The sequence below is a fragment of the Homo sapiens genome, chromosome 20, assembly GCF_000001405.40.
Source record: "Homo sapiens chromosome 20, GRCh38.p14 Primary Assembly".
In the NCBI taxonomy this organism is placed as follows: Eukaryota; Metazoa; Chordata; class Mammalia; order Primates; family Hominidae; genus Homo; species Homo sapiens.
Window position 1 is genome coordinate 11,768,109 of NC_000020.11, and position 20,392 is coordinate 11,788,500.

The 20,392-nt window shown below is 38.8% G+C and overlaps 1 annotated feature.

Moving 5' to 3' along the window:
* Positions 14,879-15,808: an enhancer, noted in NCBI's record as "OCT4-NANOG hESC enhancer chr20:11763635-11764564 (GRCh37/hg19 assembly coordinates)". NCBI's record gives its function as "activates a minimal SCP1, AML or CMV promoter by ChIP-STARR-seq in primed H9 embryonic stem cells {active_cell/tissue: H9 hESC(primed)}" and the evidence as "EXISTENCE:reporter gene assay evidence [ECO:0000049][PMID:30033119]".

The following is a 20,392-nucleotide window of genomic DNA, read 5'->3' on the forward strand; positions in this document are numbered from 1 at the left end:
AGGTTAGATTAATGAATCACTCTGGACCCAGCGCCTAGAATCCCAGGTATAAACCCTCATTCAAGCTCATATCATCTGAGTAGCCCAGGATACAGAACTGAAGTCCTCAAAGTTTCCATTTCTCAGTTATAAAATAAGAGCAATTGTCTCCCCTCATATAGTTGCCATGAGGTTTACACAACATAATTTGAATGAAGCAGTAGGCACAATGCCTGATACATAGTAGATGTTCAGTAGAGATTAAGGAGCAGCTGGTAATTTGTCATAATTAAGAATAGAATAACAACAGTAATATCTGATTCTTGAACCCTGTCATGAGTACATTTCCTTGTCCAGAGGAGAGGAAAAAAAATTAAATCCTCAAAGATAGCAGACGTGAGAGGTAAGACAGGAACAGGAGAGAGAAGAGGGAAAAAAACATAGAATTTAAGTAAGGATCAGTGAAGAGATATTTTGCCTAATTTCAGATGTGTTGCAAGAAATCAAAAAGTCCTGGCAAATCCACCTCCCTCTGCCTTGATATTGTGTACTAAGGAGACCCCACAGATCCTCCTTAATGCTCGGCAAGTCCCTCTTCACACTCCACTAAAAACTGCCTGAGAGATCAGGCACAAAAACATGACAGAAACAATCCCCTTGTGCCTTGTTTTCCTCTTTACTTTGATTGCCAAAAATGTCCAGGTTATCCTGCATGTCCTGGGCACTCATCCTTAACTAACCCCATTTATCCTCCTATCTAACCCAATCTAATCTCTTTCTGATCCTCTAACCCTTCCTCTGTCATCTTTAACCTACACAGTGCATCAACAGCAAACCTCCAACAGCCACGTCTTTCTGAAACAAATCCTGTTCCCTATTTGGCTCTATTTGGAACCATGTGGTCTCCTAAGACTACTTCTCCCTGTAGCCATCGCCAGGACTAGCTGCAATTTTAAAATTATCACTCTATTTACTGCTGAATTTGGAAGAATCTGGAAGAATCTCTACTCCTCTTCACTTGCTTCCAAATAATTGTTCTCTTCTGTCTTCTCCTTAGACAACTGTATCATTGAATCTCTCTCGCTTTTTTTTTTTTTTTTTTTTTGAGACAGGGTCTTGCTCTGTCACCCAGAATGGAGTGTAGTGGTTCAATCACACTCATTGTACCCTTGACCTCCCAGTCTCAAGGGATCCTCCCACCTTCTGAGTAGCTGGAACTACAGGCAAACACTACCATGCCTGGCTAATTTTTAATTTTCTTATAGAGACGGGGGTCTCACCATGATGCCCAGGCTGGTCTTGAATTCCTGGGCTCAAGAGATCCTTCTGCCTTGGGCTCCCAAAGTGCTAGGAATATAGGTGTGAGCCACAAGTCTGGTCTTTTGTGAATCACTTGCTTAGGCTACACCATCTGCTACCCCTTCTTGTTGCTGCCATGGACAGTTCTAGCAGAAATTTCTTCCTTCATTGAAGATGTTAACAATCTCCTTACTTATTGAGCTCCAACGTCGTTCCAGTTATCATTCCTGGTCATTTTGATGCCATGCATTATAACTTGCCCGTCACTCGGACCTCTCAGATGTTTGCTGTGCTCGTCCTGCACAATCTTCCCTTGCACTGCCCCCCCACCTCAGCCATGCATTTCCATGACCATGCCCTCTGCCTTGTCATTTTCTTCTCAAGACCAATAACTTTGCCACGTCCAAATCTCAAGTTTAAGCATCCCATTCTTTAAACACTACTTCCTGTCTTCCCAGCTTACCCCTTCTAACAGCCGGACTCCCTCACTCTGTGATGTGACTTCTAATCCATTGACACTGCCACTTCTTTACTGTCTGTCTCCTCCTTCATGGCTTTACTTCCCTCCTCCTCTGGCTTGGAGTCCATTCATCATTATGATGACACCCTCATACTTTCATATGTGTGATCATTCTCTCCTGTATTAATCAGAATTCTGCTGAAATAATATTGCATAACAAATACATTCCAGCACTTTGGGATGCGAAGGCAGGAAGATCACTTGAGCCCAGGAATTCAAGACCAGTCTGGGCAACATAGTGCGTCTTCATCTCTACAAAAAAAAAAAAAAAAAAAAAAATTAAAAAAAATAGCCAAGCATGGTGTTGCACACCTATAGTCCTAGCTACTCAAGAGGCTGAGGCAGGAGGACCACATGAGCCCAGGAAGTCGAGGCTACAGTGAGCCTTAATCATGCCATAGCAGCTTGGAAGACAAAGGAGACCTTGTCTCAAAAAAAAAAAAAAAAAAATATATATACACACACACACACACACACACACACACACACACACACACGCATATATCACTGTGGCGGATGAGAAGAGGCATTTATTTCTGAATCATGTATCTGCAGGGCAACTGGGCAGCTGTGCATCAATCTGCGTGCTTGGTTCAGGTCTACTACACATTGCTTCATTCTAGGACAGGACACTGCCTGGAGCAGGCTTTTCTTCTGGTAATTACAGCTCAGCAGAGCCATCAAAACATGCAAGCATTTGTAAAGTCTCTGCTCACATCGCATCTCCTCCTATTTTATTGGCCAAAGAAAGTCATATGACTGGGCCCTTGGTCAAGAAGACAATGGTTAGTGGCAGATGCTACAAGTCACATGGCAAGAGGTGTAGATGTATAATCCTATTTACAGGAGAAAGTGAAAACTGGAAACAATAATCTAATCCATGCCATTTTCATTCTATTATTTCACCCTCTCCCTCTATTGTAATCATGAAAGGAAACTTCAAGTCCTGTTTAAATTCTCTGCACTGACTCTCAAAAAATAGTTGAACATGGTAGGAGAAAAACTACCAAATGGCCTCATCTTATATTCATGACTGCTGACCTCAGTGGCTACCTAAGTGATGTCCAGAAATTCTGTAATTCCCTCGTCAATCTGTTCTTCTTTTTCTTTCTTTTTTTTTTTTTGAGATAACTATTTTACACCTCCTCAGTAAGCTCACTTCTAGCTCCCAGCCCCTTCCTTCCCATCAATGTGTGACTTCTTATTTCAATAAGAAAAATGAAACAATCAAAGGGAACTCCATCTTCTGTAAAATCCAATTTACCAATATTTCTGCTCAGAGCCTGTGTGTTCAGTCCCCTCTATTGGAAGACGCTTTCTTTCTCCTTGTTCCACATGGATTCTGGACCTTATCACTACTTGCTCATCCAAGTATTTAACTCTTCCAGGTGTTTGTCTCATTTCTGCATCCTCAATTTTCCCCCTTTCTATTGAATTATTCTCAGGATATACAAACATTCTATAATATGTTGTAACATATCTCGGTTTCAACAATATTTCCTTCAACCCCATATGTCCCTTTAAATACAATATCATTTCTCTTTACATTGCCAAATGCAATGGTTGACTCTCATTCCTAAACTCACTGGATCCACAAGCACCATTTAAATCACTGGATGACTCTGTCTTCCGTAAGTCATTTTCTCCACGCCGATTCTGGGACATTGCAATCTGCTGGTTTTCCTGCTACTTTGTGGTCTCCTTTCATATTAGAGCCCGTTCCTCCTCTTCATGTTAGAGTATTCTAGGGCTCAGTTTAATGACATTATGTTTTCTCTAACTATGGTTATTTCTTAAATTATACTATTCAACCATATAGTTGTAAGCATCATTTATGTTTTGATTTCTGTCAATTTTATTTGTTCAGTTCCACTTTTACCCTAAGCTGCAGTCACATGTAAGTATATCTCAAAACTCTAATCTTCACAGGAGTACCTACTAGAAATCATAAACATAATATGTTCAAAACCTGCTCCTCCTTCCATTATCTCCCAGATACTCAGTTTAGAACCCCTGGAGTCATTCTTGACTAGTATCATTCTCTTGTACCCCATGATCTATCTACGAATCTTTTTGGGCTCATCTTAAAGCTATACTCAGAATCCTACCATATCTTCTGTCTTATATACCAAAACCACCCTACCCAATGCACTCTCCTTATTCTCCTGCGCAACTATAATAGCCTCAACTTTCTCCACCCACTTTTGCTTTGCTATAGTTTATTCTCCGTAGAACAGCCAGAGTTGCCTTCTTAAAATATAAATTCAATTATGTCATATTCCAAGCTTCCGATGGCTCTGTTCTAGTTATTGTTGTTGCATAATAAAGTATCCCAAAACCTAGAAGCTTAAAACAACCATTTTATTTTGCTCAAAGATTCTGTAAATCAGAAATTCAGATTGAGCACAGAGGGAATGGCTTGTCTATTTTATGATGTCTTGGGCCTCAACTGGAAAAATGAAAAAGCCTGGGGGCTGGAATTACTGGAGGACTCATTCACCATTCACGCACTTGAGCTGGAATGACAGGACACTAGGCTAACATAGCCATTCTAAAATAGACTAGAGTATGCTCCATAACAAAGCCTCATTCTCCAGGAGAAAAAACTGTACCAGAGCCCTATCTTTCCCAGTAAAATAGCAATTGCTCAACTCTAGCCCCTCTAGCCTTCCTGTCTCACCTAAGAGGAAAAAGAAATTTAAAAAGACTGACAAACACTTCTGGACTTCACAGTCCAAGAGCTCAGAACTACTAGAAGACTGAGATTTAGTGATAAGATTATAGAGAATGTTCACTGTCTACCACAACAGCGCTCCAGCATAACAGTAAATTAAAGCTGAAAGAGATAAAAGACACAGATCTTACTTTAAAAGGAGTTCTTAGGAAAACCTAAATACCAAAGAAGAGAAAAAAGGAAACACTAAAAGAAACCTTAAACTACAACAACCATTAAACTACACCTTAAACTACAACAACCTTAAACTGCAACAACCATTAAACAAACCTCAAACATAAAAACATCACACTAAAGTGTTATTTACCACATAACTCAATACATTATGTTCAGTTTTTAACAAAAAACATTTTAAAAGGCAAACACACACACGCACGCACACACACACACACACACACACACAGACACACAGTCTGAAGAGATAAAGTAAGCATCAGACCAAGAATCATATATGACAGAAATTTCTGGAAGTATCAGATAAGGAATTTAAAATCACTGATTAATAAGTTAATTATACTTTAGCTATGTTAAGATCGCTAATGGAAAAAGTAGACTACATAAATAAACACGGGTAATATAAGCACAGAGAGGAAAATTCTAAGAAAGAATAAAAAAGAAATGCTAGAAATAAAAAAAATTATAATAGAAATGAAGAATGTCTTTGACAGACTCATCATTAGATTACACAGACAATTTAGGTGACCTAGGGTTTGGCAGTGAGGTTCTGATATAACACCAAAAGCATGATCCATGAAAAAAACAAAAACAAACACAAACTTGATAGGTTGAACGTTATTAAAGTGGAAAAAATTCTGCTTTGTGAAAGATACAAGAATGAAAAGAAATACTTGGATAAAATATTTGCAGAACATATAAGGGACTTGTATTAAAAATATATAAAGAACTTGTAAAACTCAACAATAAGAAAGCAAACGACACAATTTCAAAATGTGCAAGGAATATAAACAGACATCACACCAAAGAAGATATAGATATGACAAATAAACATATGGAAAGATGCTGAACATCATTTTTATTAGGGAATTAAACAACAAATTAGAACAACAATGATATCATCGTACACCTATTAGAATGTATAAAATACAGAAAACTGATATTACCAAATGTTGATGAGTATGTGGAGCAACAGAAACTCTTTTGCTGATGGAAATGCAAAATGATACTGACACTTTGACATGCACTCTGGCAGTTTCTTGCAAAACTAAGCATAGTCTTATTATTAGATACATCAAATGCACTCCTATGTATTTACCCAATTTATTGGAAAACTTATGTCTAAACAAAAACTTATACACAAATATTTATAGCAGTTTTATTCCTATTTTCCCAAGGCTAAAACCAACTAAAATACCCTTCAATAGGTGAACGGATAAATAGATAAACTTTGATGCACCCATGAAACAGAATATTATTCATGAAAAGAAATAAGCTACCAAACCAGAAAAATACATAGAAAAATCTTAAATGCATGTTAATGAGTAAAAGAAGCTAGTCTGAAAAGGCTATACCTTATATAATTCCAATCACGTGGTGTTCTGGAAAAGGTAAAACTACACAATGATATAAGCCAAATTGTGTTCCCCGCAACATTCAGATGTTGAAGTCCTAACCCTTGTCAGAATGTGACTGGATTTAGAGGCAGGGTCTTTAAAGAGGTAACTAAATTAAAATAAGTTTATTAAAGTCAGCTATCATCCAATATGACTGGTGTCCTCATAAGAAGAGGAGATCAGGACACAGACATGCACAGAGGAAACACCATGTGAAGGCCCAGGGACAAGACAGCCAACTACAAGACAAAAGAGAGGCCTCAGAAGAAACCACCCCTGTCAACACCTTGATTTCAGACTTCTAGCCTCCAGAACTGTGAGAAAGTTAATTTATGTTGTTAGAAGAAAGTACCAGTCTAAGGACTTTATTATAGAAGCCCCAGCAAACTAATACAGAAAGCAAAAAAAAAAAAAAAAAAAAATCAGTGGCTGCCAGCGTTGAGAGAGGGAGAGGGATAAATAAGATGAAAAGAGCAAGATTTTTTAGAGCAGTTGAAACTATTCTGTATGATACTATAATAGTGGATTCATGATATTATGCATTTGTCATACCCATGGAAATTAATAGCACAAAGACTGATATTTGATATGTGCAAATTTTAAATGATTATTTAGAAGATCCTGGAATTGCAGCAAAAGAGTACAGATTGTGACAACACAATATAACTTTATTACAAATGTATGAAACAAATTCAAACATTAGGGGTGGGGAAAATGGTGCTGACCTAAGTAACTTTGAAAATGTATAGAGCCTTTAAGGATAAAGGCAAGAGTGACTCTACAAGAGAACTGCACTCTAGTTGGTAAACTTGTTCCCTAAGGAGACACAGGTTAACAGTTCTGCCACTGCTATAATTTACCCTAAAATTGAATAACTAAAGTCAGTGAATGGCTGAGGTAGGTGCTCACAGATAAGCAAAGGGAGAAGGCTAACATGATCCCTATGGTAATAGACTAGAGTTGGAGACATCAATATGAACTCCTGTGTATATTTACTATCACCTGAAATTTAGATACAGATGGTTACATATAGAAATATTTACAGATATGTGTATATTCGATGTTTGGTATATGTGTATATACTTTATTGCTCTGTGAGCTGAGAGGGCCTATAGGAAAGGACACTACAGTAGTAACATTCATAGCTAGTGCACCCCCGCCCCCCCGCCCCTGCACCTATCTTATTTTGTAGTGCTAGAAAGTAAAGAAGTACAAAAACAAAAACGCCCCACAACAACAAAAGAAACAACTTCACACTGATAGGAGTTTGTCCGATGGCACCGCCGAAATAATTTTGGTAACAAAACAGGATTGGATTATACCCTGATACAGTTTGGGTGTTGCCCCTGTTCAAATTTCATGTCCAAATGCAATCATTAATATTGGAGTTGGGACCTGGTGGGAGGTGATTGGATCAAGGAGGCAGGTTTCTCATGAATGGTTTAGTACCATCCTCTTGGTACTGTCCTTTCGGTAGTGGGTTCTTACAAGATCTGGTCTTTTAGAAGTGTGTAGTACTCACTCCCCCTTCCTCCTGCCTTGGCCATGTAATGTGTCTGCTCCCCCTTCACCTTCCGCCATGATGGTAAGTTTTCTGAGGCCTCTTTAGAAGCCAATCAGATGCCAGCATCATGCTTCCTTCACAGCCTGCAGAACCGTGAGCCAATTAAATCTCTTTTCTTTATAAGTTACCTAGTCTCAGGTATTTCTCTGTAGCAATGTGAGAACAGAATACTATATACCTCAAAGTATAAAATAAATTGACATGAGTCTTTAACAATATTGTTTTTTATGAAAGAATAATCTTGCTGAAAAAGCTGATGAATACCACTTCAGCCTGGTGATCAAGGTCAATATCAGCAGTCATAAATCATGTTGATAGTATTATATGTACCATTGTTATGCTGAAATTATCTTTCTCTGTGACCTTTTATTCCCCAAAACCCATAACCTCTGTCTAATCCTCAGAAAAACATTAGACAAACCTCAATGAAAGGCATCTTACAACATAGCTGACCAATATTCCTCAAACTGTCAAGGTCATCAAAAATAAGGAAGCCTGAGAAACTGTCACAGCCAAGAGGAGCCCGAGGAGATAAAACAACTGAATGTAATGTAGAATCCTGGGTGGGATCTTGAAACAGAAAAAGGACATTAAGCCAAAACTAAGGAAAGCTTGAATAAAGTATAGGCATTTCAGGGAATAAAAATGTATCAATATTGGTTCATTAATTTTAACAAATGCACTATACTATTTAAGGTATTAATAATAAGGTTAATTGTTTGGGTGAGAACTCTCTGTATTATCTACCCAATATTTCTGTAAAACTAAAATTAGTCTAATGAGTAAAATCTCTAAATTTTTTTTAAAAAGTCTGATGTGTATTCTCCAAAGAAAATATACAAATAGCCAATGAGTGCGTGGAAAGTTTCTCAACATCATTTAGGCATTAGGGAAATGCAAATCAAAAACCATGATGAGATACCACAGCACACCCAGTAGGATGACTGTAAACAAAAGATAAACAAAAACAAGTGTTGGTGAGGGTATAGAGAAAGCAGAGCCCTTGTGCACTGCTACGAGGAATCTAAAATGGTTCAGCCACTTTGGAAAGCAGCTTGATAGCTCCTCAAAATTTTAAACGTGAGTTACCATATGACTCAACAATTCCATTCCCAGGCATTTGCCCAAGAAATTGAAAAGATATATTCACAAACATATTTGTGTAAAAATGTTCATAGCAGCCTTATTTGTAATAGCCATAAAAGTGAAAACAACCCAATGTCTGTAAGTGAATAGAAAAATGCAATGTGGTGTATTCACTCATACAATGGAACATTATTCAGCCATAAAAAAGAAGAAAGTACTGATATATGCTGCAATATGGATGAATCTTGAAAGCATTATGCTAAGTGAAAGAAGCCAGATACAAAATGCCACATATTATGTGATCCTATTTATACAAAACATCCAGAATATGCAAACCCTCAAAGAAAGAAAGTAGATTAGTGATGGCTGAGGAGATGGGGATGGGGATGGGCAGGTGATAGCTAAAGTGTACTGGATTTCTTTTTAGTGTTAACAAAAACGTTCTGGAATTAGGTAGTGGTAATGGTTGCACAAGCTTGTGAATATATTAAAAATCACTGAACTGTGCTTTAAATGGGGAACGTTTCTGGTATTGAAATTTTATCTTAATTTTGAAAACTCTGATGTACATTTGACACTTACAGCTCATCTCAATGCGGTGCTCACTATCCCCTGCAGCGCTTACATTCTGTGTTAGGTAATGCAGCTCTAGACTCTTGCTATTCAGATCAGAGTGTGTTTTACAAACCAGTAGCATCAGCGTCACCTGGAAGCTGGTTAGAAATGTGGAATCTCAGGCCCCAGCTGAGACCTACTGAATCAGAATCTGCATTTTAACAAGATCCTCAGGTGACTGCGATGCACTCTCAACTTTGAGAAGACCGACTGCGATAATGTCGCTGGCGGCTGACACTGCTGAGAAACTCTATGACTGCTCACAAAGAGAAATCATTCTTTTGTTAGACTAAATTATCTACCATTGTCCAATCAGCATTTCAATTCTTTTCCACTCACCTCTCACCCCACATGCCAGAATTCAATCTTGTTATTTTTCCCTAATTGCTCCTTAGACGTTGGTCCACTCCCGGGTGAGAGTACCAGTTTGGGATTGTTCCAAACTCAGGGTCACTGACTAAATTTAATGACAGCCTCTTTGTGACTGTAAATCTACCAGCGACGACAGTTTTGAAAACCATCCAACTTTGCTTACCCGGAGTTCTGTCTCCAGCAGGCAGGATGCTCTGGAAGAGCAGACACTTTATCCATAGTGTAGCCAACTGGGTTGAGCAAACTGGGGCCACTTGTGGGTCAGATGTTTTCTGTGTGAATGGAAGGAATGTGTGCTAATTTTACAAACAATTCCTGACATTCCGCATCTCTCTTCTTTTAATAATAATAATAAAAAAAAGCAGAGGTACCGAGTAAAAAACCACTTCTGTTTCTCAATTATATTTTAGTTTCACTTAGAACAAACTGTCCTGTGTTCCTTCAAGGGCATTCATTATTCATTAAACACCATTCTATAGCAGTTTAAAATACATTTTCGTATTATATTTACCAGGAAGTGATTGTATCTCGAAAGAACTCTCAACTCTAGTCCTTTTCCTGTTACTGCAGAGTAGGAAATTTCAAACAAACAAAACGTGATTGGTATTTATGGTGTTGGGAAGTTTCCTTTTTTAGTTGTGTGTTCTGAACTCACGTTCTTTATGTCACCAGAACTTTTGTGTCTTTTTTTTTAATCTGAGAAATACAGAATATTAAGACTATATTAATTATAGTTTTCATGAAAAACCTTGAAATCTACCCTGTCCTAATCCCCAATGTGTTCCTATGTATAAAATTGAAATATATCATGAGTACCATAAATATATTTATTCTTCATCCATATGCAGAGAGCTTCCTTTATACAGTGAACTTTGCTGAATGGAGTGGAGAATACAGAAATGCATGAGACATATGCTCTGCCTTCCAAAAGTATGCAGTATACTAAGAACATGTACATAATGTGGCAGAGCCGAAAATATGGGAGAAAATTCAAGGTATACAGAAAGTATTGTTCATGTTCTATGTGATAACAGTGAAGGAAGGGCAGGTCACTCTGGCATGGGAGAGGAAATGGATGGTTAAAGGAACTCCTGGGAGAAAGTTGCTTTTGAGCCAAAATTTCAGGGTGGGTGAGTAGAATTTAGAAAAATGGCAACCACGTTGAGACACAGCACTCTATGAAATGGGAAAAACAAGTTTTTAAAGAGTCATGGAAAAAGATAAATAAAATATTAATCAACTTCTGTGCTAGGAACAATTTTGATAATGTTTTTCCACAGGAGTTATTACCAGATCAGTTGTAATTGAGGACCAAAGAAGAGGAAAACAAAGGTGAATTGTAAGAAATAATTACTTCCTACTGTAACAGTTGGAAAAGAAGACAAACTTAGCAATTTTAATTTTAAGGAAATATTCTACCGCCAGGCACAGCGGCTCATGCCTGTAATCCAGCACTTTGGGAGGCCAAGGCAGGTGGATCACCTGAGGTCAGGAGTTCAAGATCAGCCTGGCCAACATGACAAAAACCCATCTCTACTAAAAATACAAAAATAAGCTGGGCGTGGTGACTGACGCCTGTAATCCCAGCTACTCGGGAGGCCGAGGCAGGAGAATCGCTTGAACCCGGGAAGCAGAGGTCACAGTGAGCCGAGATCGTGCCATTGCATGCAGCCTGAGTGATAGACCGAGTCTCCGTCTCAAAACAAAACAAAAAAAAACCAGTATTCTACCATTGAGCAATCTGCTGACCAATTAAATATGATTTCTCGGGTTTTCATTTATGTTTTGTGGTAGTCTCCTGAACTCTGTAGACAATAAATATTAATTAATTAAATTAGTATTAAGTAGCTATGGCTGTAATATATACTAATAAAACAGTTATAGTTTAAGAGAATTGCAAAATTGTTTTTTCTTTGTTCCTTAAAGTTTAAAAAAATTAAAAAGGAGAAGAAAAGTATTGGTGCACAGAAAAATTTGAAGGTACATCTTCTTATGTGTAAACCATGTTCTTACAAAAGTAAAAATAGTAATTTAGGGACATAGTTGTAATCTTTAGGTAACCATTAGAATCTTTTTTTTCCTTTTTTTCTTTTCTTTTCTTTTTTCTTTTTTTTTGAGATGGAGTTTTGTTCTGTTGCTCAGGCTGGAGTGCAATGGCATGATCTCGGCTCACTACAACCTCCACTTCCTGGGCTCAAGCCATTCTCCTGCCTCAGCCTCCCAAGTAACTAGGACTACAGACATGCACCACCACGCCCAGCTAATTTTTGTATTTTTAGTAGAGATGGGGTTTCACCATGTTGGCCAGGCTGGTCTCAGACTCCTGACCTCAGGTGATCTGCCTGCCTCGGCCTCCCAAAGTGCTAGGATTACAGGCATGAGCCACCATGCCCGGCCCCATTAGAATCTTAATAAGGGTACTGATACATTCACTGAAGAGCTTTCTAGAAATCTAAAGACCCTTATACATTCAGGAGAAATGAACTTTTAGCTAAGGAAGAATTCAGGAACTAAGATAAGCAAACACTTATTTGTATTTGTATATGCGTGGCTGTGATTTATATATATAAAGCAAGCATCTCTTTGTTTTTTTTCCTCAAAAAATAATGTATTGCAAAAATGTTTTGATTGTTTTCAAACCTCCAAATACATTTCTCTTTTTTCTTCATATAATGTTGGACATTATTTTTGGCAGATGATGCTGATAGCAGAAAATGTTTAGTTTAACCACTTGGGCAGCTGTGGGGTCTTTTTTCCTTTTCTTCCTCCTATTAATGAAAAAGCAGTTCCTTGCAGCAAAGAATGGGAGTGAAGTTAGCAATTAATTGACAATGTAAAAATCTTGAATAAAAATAAGTATCTGAGTAGGAAGAAAAAATGTCCTCAAAAATATATTTATGCATCTCACATAGACATAGCCTCTCTGCACCTGTTTTCAGAAGGGAAGAATTCCAGGTCATATACAATAAACTTCTCCTTTCAAATTGATTGTTTCTAAATGGTAGCTCAACATAACAGATCCTCACAGTCTGTATTTCTTTTTAGCAAAACACAAAACTCTGTATTGGTTTTGTTTTGCATGTACAGTCATAGCAACTTCAGAATATGTGTACATCTTTCATCCCAAAACTTTCATTATTAATCATAATGGTTAGCTCTCTCTCCCCTCAATCATTAACCCTGTCTGGTTAATATTGTTTTTTGTTGAAGCCATTAGTTATTTTATTAAGGTGTGTATGGGGCAGGGAGCAGAGGGGTGCATCCTCTCTGCTTAAGTAAATGGCAAGTTCAGCAATATTTTCAAGGTCACCCTCACTATGTTCATTTGGGGTAAGGATTGAAGTTTTTGCATTTGTGAAATGCTGCATGTGCAAAAAGAAATGGTGTCAGAAAGGAAACTACCTTATTTCTCTAAAACTTTGATGAGTTTGAAATGTCTGCCGTTAGCAGTTTGAAAGATCTTACCAACAAATGAGGAGTTCCAGGCTTTACTCTGAAACGTGCCTGCAGCACAGAACTTTTATATTTATGGAGCATGACCTCCAACTATAAATGATCACTCGTTTTTTAAAAAGCTATTTTGGGGTAAATGCCAATTGCTTGAGAAGTCAGGAATACGTTAGGCTCTGGATTCAATATTGTGCTAGCAATAGACAGGGATTTCACTTTCATCGGGACAGCCATCACTGTTGATCACCAATGGACCACTCGGGCTTTGTCACAAAGTGGTGATGACACCAACACATTATAACCTTCCAAAAACAATCAGAACTTGTTTTATCCAAAAGAACAATCATATCACTTGTATTCCATGTTCTTCTGGAAATGGATGAAAGAGCAAACTTCACAGTTATCTAAGTGGTAAAAATACAACTGAAGAAGTAAAGTGTCCACAATAGGATATTTTAAGTCCTTAGGGTATTACTTTTTTCTTTAAGGTGAAAGAATATTAAAGTTTGAAGGAAGCATCCTAATTTTAAAAATTGAAGAATTACCTTTGAAGGGAATTGAAACCTTTGTTCAACAAAACACAAAGTGTTCCGGAGCCTGTAGAAATCTTCAGAAGAGGTGTGCACCAGAAATCTACCTCAATTCCCCAGAGGCCTGCACCTCAAAGCGAACACTGTCATATTCTGAGCCGGCTTCCTCCAATGTTTTCTTTTTAATCCATATATATGCTTACATGTCTTTTTATGAAGTTGAAGAGATTTATTATGATATAATCACTTCCTTAGCAGCTTGGGACTACACTGATGAGCAAGCAAGATGGAAATAGGCCATTAGCATTTTAGTCCATGGGAATGTGGACTTTGTAGCACCCCATGAAGTGTGTATTCCCATTTTGTGTAGGAACGACAAAATGTCATTTGACAGAGTAGAAAATGCTAACCTAAGAGGGAAAAAATATTTGTTTTAAATTTTCAGATGAGTTAAGGTGGTTAGCTCATCCTAAAATAGACCACCTGAGGTGTTTCATTTGAAATTTCCTAAGTAACTGATTTTCTATTGTGCTCTTCTTTAGCTGCTAATCAAATAAAAGTGATTTTTCCAATGTCCTTGATTGATATGTGATGCAGTTCTTCAATGCTTCAAGGATGAAGTTTTACCTTAAAGGGAAAGGAAAAAGAACAACTTGATAACAGGAGCAAAAGATGTGTGTGTATATGCATGTGTGTGTGTGTCCCTATGAGCACACCTGTATGTGTGTGTTCACAAGCACATTCTCTACTTCAGTGAACTCAATAGTATAATCATATACTGGGGAAATTTTTGCTTGTTATTTCCCTGGTCGTTCAACTTCAAAATATTATTCTGTACAGCTCCCACATTGATCAAAAGGCTGATACTCAAACTGAAACAGGGAAAGTTCATTCAACAAATATTAAGTGCCTACTGAGTGCTGGTTTATTATAGGCACACATGGGCCATATCAGGGACCAAAAGCAGACAAAGACTCTGCTCTCATGAGGTTAGATTCTAGTGGAGGGAAGGGTAAAATATTTAAAAATAATAAATAATCGTCATCCTATATTGGAAGAAGGTAAGGGCTATAGAAAAAATGGAAAGTAAAGTATGATAAAGAAATCATTTGTTTGTTCGAGTTAAGGCCATTTAAATAGAAAACTCATATTTTAGCAAAAACCCAAAGAGGTTGAAAAAGGGAGACATACGGATATCTCGAGAAACAGTGGCCCAGGCAGAGAGAACCATCCATGGAAAGGCTCTTCTGCAGAAGCATGTCCAGTGTGTTTGAGGAACAGCACAGGCCAGTGAAAAGGGAGTGGAGAGTGAGGGGGAAGAGCCATAGGAGAGATATCACAGAGGTAGTGGGTTTGGAGCAAGTCCTGTTTTGTAGGGTCTTGTAGGTCACTTTAAGCCTTGCCTTTTACCCTGAAGGAAATGAGAGCCAGCAGAGTGATCTGCCTAACAAGAGGATTGCTCTGGCTGTGGTGTTGAGAATGAACTGTATGTAGCACAGGGAGGGGGACCAGTTAACAGGCTTTTGCACCAACCCAGACAAGGGATAATGGCAACTCAGACCAGAGTGATGACAGTGCAGGTGGAGAGAAGTGGTCAGATTCTAACTATATTTTGAATGTCAAGAAACAAAATTGATTCTCTGGTGGAATCGAGGTAGGGCATGTGAGAAAAACAGCAATCAAGGGCGCCTCCAAGGTTTTTGGCTGGGCAGTTGGAATGATAAAGTTGCCATCAAATGAGATAGAGCAGGCTGCAAAAAGGGCAGCTTTCAGGGAAAACAAAGGGTGGAGTTTTAGATATGTTGCGTTTGAGATGGCTTCAACATCTGAATAGAGATACTGACCACCTGGAGGCAGCAATTCAGATGTAAGACTTAATTTGTGCTCACCAGCTCAGTTTAGGTAGTGAAATGCAGAGACAGACGGAAGAGTGTTTTAGTTATCTCAGCCGCCAACTCTCAATAAAAATTACACTAAGAAATCGCTTGGGAAAGTTAAGACAGGTTTTTATACCAGATCTTTCATGTACAATCTGGGATAACCTTGATCAGTTTCTAACCTCTGCTAAATTCAGTAATCCCATTAATAAAATGGAGTATCTGAAGTCAGAATCCTAAGAAACAGAGCTTGAGATGGGGAATTTTGTGTGAACAATTTGTTAAATGTGCTCTCAGAAGAAAGGGAGTGAAGACAGCAGAAAACAGTTAGGAGAAGGTGCTAAGAAGGGCTGTGTGCTTTCAGCTAAAGTCAAACTTCTGCCTGATACTATGAATAGCTCTGGAGCTAGAATTACACTGCAGAGTTGGTCCCACCTTGAGACAAGGCAACCAACAGCATCTCTTACACAGGGCTGTAATAAATACCACTGTACTGTTGTGTAATATTTGGAGGAGTATTGTGACTGTCACACAGTAGGCCTTTTGTGAAAGTTTATGAACTTCCCTCACTACAGCTTTATGTAAATTCTAATTATTTGATGGGTTTCTTTCTTTCTCTCTTCATCAATGAATGATTTGCTGGATTGACTTCTAATTACATACAGTTCTATTGCCATTCCCTTCCATTAGAATTTCATTATAGAGATAATTATTCACATATTTTAAAACATAGCCCACCTCTTCAGTAATGAAGCTACAGGTATACTACTCTTTAACAGGCATGGCAAAAACTAAGGCTGGTAAAGTCCTCTCTCCACCAGTTGTGAGCAAAACACTTTCATTTCAGAATCAAGAATCTGCTGCATATCAAAAATATTTCGTTTACTTATGGGAATCCTTCCTCTCAGTAAAAAAAAAAAAAAAGGAAAACACAGGTAAAGAAAAATGGAGGAATGGATTCTAAAACCATTTTATGTTTATTGCTGATCTAGAAACCCAAGCATTTGTCCATTATATCAGAAAAGGACTCAGTGGGACTTGCTCACAGTCAAGAAGTAATTTGACAAGTAGAATCAGCCTTGATTCGTAAAATGTCATAATGCTGTAGATCAATGTACTTTGCCTCTTGTCCATTTGCTGGGGAAACAGGAGAATGTTGTGTGTTCTGGTTACCTGAGCTTGAGTGCATATCAGAAAAAGTATTTTTCTGCCCCAATCTTTGTTGTCAAAAATTATTTTAGGCCAGGTGCTGTGGATCACACCTGTAATGCCAGCACTTGGGGAGGCCAAGTTAGGTGGATTGCCTGAACTCAGGAGTTCGAGACCAGCTTGGGCAAAATGGTGAAACCACATCTCTGCCAAAAGTGCAAAAAATTAACTTGGGCGCGGTGGCACACGCTTGTGGTCCTAGCTACTCAGGCGTCTGAGGTGGGAGGATTACTTGAGCCTGGGAGACAGAGGTTGCAGTGAGCCAAGATCATGCCACTGCACTCCAACCTGGTTGACAGAGTCAGAACTTGTGTCCAAAAAAAAAAAAAAAATCATTCTAAAGTCACCCTAAAGTGTGTGTCTTTGTATATCTGCAGATGGACACTTAAAATACTCATACTCTCAGCCCTAAGGTGATCCTTGGTGGTGTGTGAGCCAAGCATAGCCCCAACATCCAGTCACCTCCAGCCTCATCCGTTTACCCTGAGGGCCACAGAGATATCATTGCTTTTGCTGTGAGCCAAAGCAGCTCAAAGGAAGGAAGCACCGAGCAAGCAATCTGAGTGAAGGAGATGTAAGAGACTGGGTTGAACGTGTCTTGACCCAGTGTCTTACATTGGTTTCCTCATCTGTAAAAATGTAAAAGTATCTACTTCTAAAATACACCACAACAAAGAGAAGAAATGTATGCTTTGTGGCCAAAATGAAACCAAAAAACCCCCCAGAATATCTTGGGTAAGAGGATGAGGGATTGATCATGTACCCCAGTGTTATTCATTGCTATAAGGTTTTTCCTGTGATTAAGCAGAAACCAGCTCCTGAAAAGCATTACTGAAACAACTACAACTGGAAAATTTCCTAAGCAAATCTGATAGACCAGCTTGAAGCCAGTGGACAACAACCTTGTGGTCCTGCCATAGCTCTAGTTAGACAGAGGACCAGTTTTATAAGCACTCATTATTGATGAATGGCTGCAGACCTTAAGCCAATTTGAGCCCCTTTGTGGAGACTGCACACAAATTGTCTTTGTGCCCTGTAGTTCGCCTTTTGACCTAAAGAGCTGAATTCCACCTCATTTTAATACTAAAACCCCACCCCAAAGTGAACATAGGGTGTATGTAACACATATGCTTACCCAGTGAGCAAATAAGTGCCTGACTTTCCCAGTGAATATTCATAGAATTTCTGCAACACTGCTCAATATGTATGTAAGACTGTGTAAGTGAAACTGAGGAGTTAATTTGATCAGGTCTGTGTGGCCTGCTTGCTTGTGGTTGCTTGCTTTTTAATACCTTTTTAAAATTCCTTTTTCCATGAAGCTGAAGGTTGCAGTAGCTGAAGGCCTTCCTGCTGAACACAGCAACTTAACCTTCACTGGCTACGTCATAGATAACGTGTATAGGTCACCGTGGTACTTGTCACTTCAATTGTTATTTAGGAACTTGGGCCAGCTCCTGTCCAGTTCAAACCAATTGAGGCCATGGATCCTTCAACTGGGCCTGCACAAGTGCTTGAAAGGTGGCCTTTTGACATGAGAGGGCCAAAAGCTCCACCCTCAGATCATGCTAACTTGTCCATTTTCTACATGTACATCCTGTGAAATGCCATGAACCTCGACTACACTTGTGAAAAACAAACCTGTTATTTCATTTTTCCCCACTGCCAATCACTTTTCCCATGCCTTAGGCCTCCACACTTCCCTAACCCATAAATATCTCTGAGACTTACCTTCAGAGAGGCGGATTTTTGAGAGCTGTTCTCCCACCTCCTTTCTTGGCAGTCTTGTGAATAAATCTTCTTTCTTTTACAAAACTTATGTCACAGTAATTGATTTACCGTGCACCAGCAGGACAGATCTGAACCTGGCTGGTAACATAAGGAATATAGAGCAGCTCCCCCCTCCCCCTTCTGAGCCCTTTTGGACTTCCCTGAAAGCAGTGTTTCCCCATCCTAGGATTGTTTCTCCCTCTGAAAATAAAGTCTTCTCCTTTCCTTCCTCCATGATCCTCATGGTCTTTAGTTAACACTATCCAGGACATTGCTGTGAGAACTAAATCAGTCACTATATACAAATCACTTAGAGTGATGATATATAAGTGTGATGATACTGTGACATATATACAGTTGGCCCCCCGTATCTGTGGGTTCCACACTCATGGATTCAAACAGCCCTGGATAGAAAATATTCCAAAAAATGGATGGTTGCATCTGTACTGAACATGTACAGACTTGGTTTCTTGTCATCATTCTCTCAAAAACACAGTATAACAACTATACATAGCACTTGTATTAGGTATTATAAATAATCTAGAGATGATTTCAAGTATACAAGAGGATGTGCCTAAGTTATATGCAAATACCATGCCATTTTATATTAGACTCATGAGCATCTGTGGATTTTGGTATGAAGGAGGGTATCCTAGAAGCAATTCCCCATGGATACAGAGAGAGATAGAGACAACTGTATTTGCTCTTCATCCTAGTTTTCTGAAATATAGCTTCCAAAATCCTCAGAATTTCCAGAATAATGAATGTCTTTTTATATGCTAATGAGGTGACTGGGGACAGCTGGTCCCCAGAGAGCCTCAGGATGGGGGTTGGTCACCAGAAAGACCAAGGCAGCCACACCCTCCAATCTCGGGGAAGCAGAGAGGGGCTGAAGGTTAAGCTGATCACCAATGGCCAATGATTTAATTAATATGCCTACATAAAGACACTTCCATTCAAAAAACCAACAAGACTGGGTTTTGGGGCCTTCCAGACAGCCGAACACGTGGAGGTCCAGGAGGGTGGCACCCCCAGAGAGTGCATGGAAGCTTCATGCCCCTTCCCACCTTCTCTGCCCTGTGCATCTCTTCATCTGTATCCTTTGTAATATCCTTTGTGATAATCTGGCAAATGCAAGTAAGTGTTCTATGAGCCATCCTAGCAAATTAATACAACTGGGAGGGTCATGGGAACCCTAACTTACATCCAGTTAGTCAGAAGTTCTGGAAGCTGGGAATTGCAACTGATGTCTGAAGTGGGAGGCAGTCTTGTGGGACTGAGCCCTATGGGATCTGACACGATTTCCAGGTAGATAGCGTCAGAATTGAATTGAATTAGAGGAGATTCAGCTGATATCTGCTGCAGAAAAGAATTGCTTGCTTGGTGTGTAGGGAGAAACCCTCATACATTTGCTCATAGAAGTGTTCTGTGTTGTGTTGTGAAAGTTTAGGAGAAACTGAGTTTGCTTTTTCCTATATCCTAGGAATAACAATTCAGTATTATTCTTACCAAGTAAGAATTATAACAAACTTCTTAGCATGTAATAGGAATTTTATATGGGATCTGTTGTAAAAATGGTTAACCCCCAGATTAAATATTTGGTGAAAGAAGATCTATATAGAAGAAGAAGAAGAAATGAAACAGCACACTACTATTGAATATTTCATACTCAATACCACATTCAATATCTTTGTTAATTTTTTAGAGATAGGATCTTTCTATGTTGCCCAGGTTGGAGTGCAGTGACTATTCACAGATGAGATCATTGCACTCTACAGCCTTGAATGTATGGCCTCAAGTGAGCCTCCTGAGTAGCTGG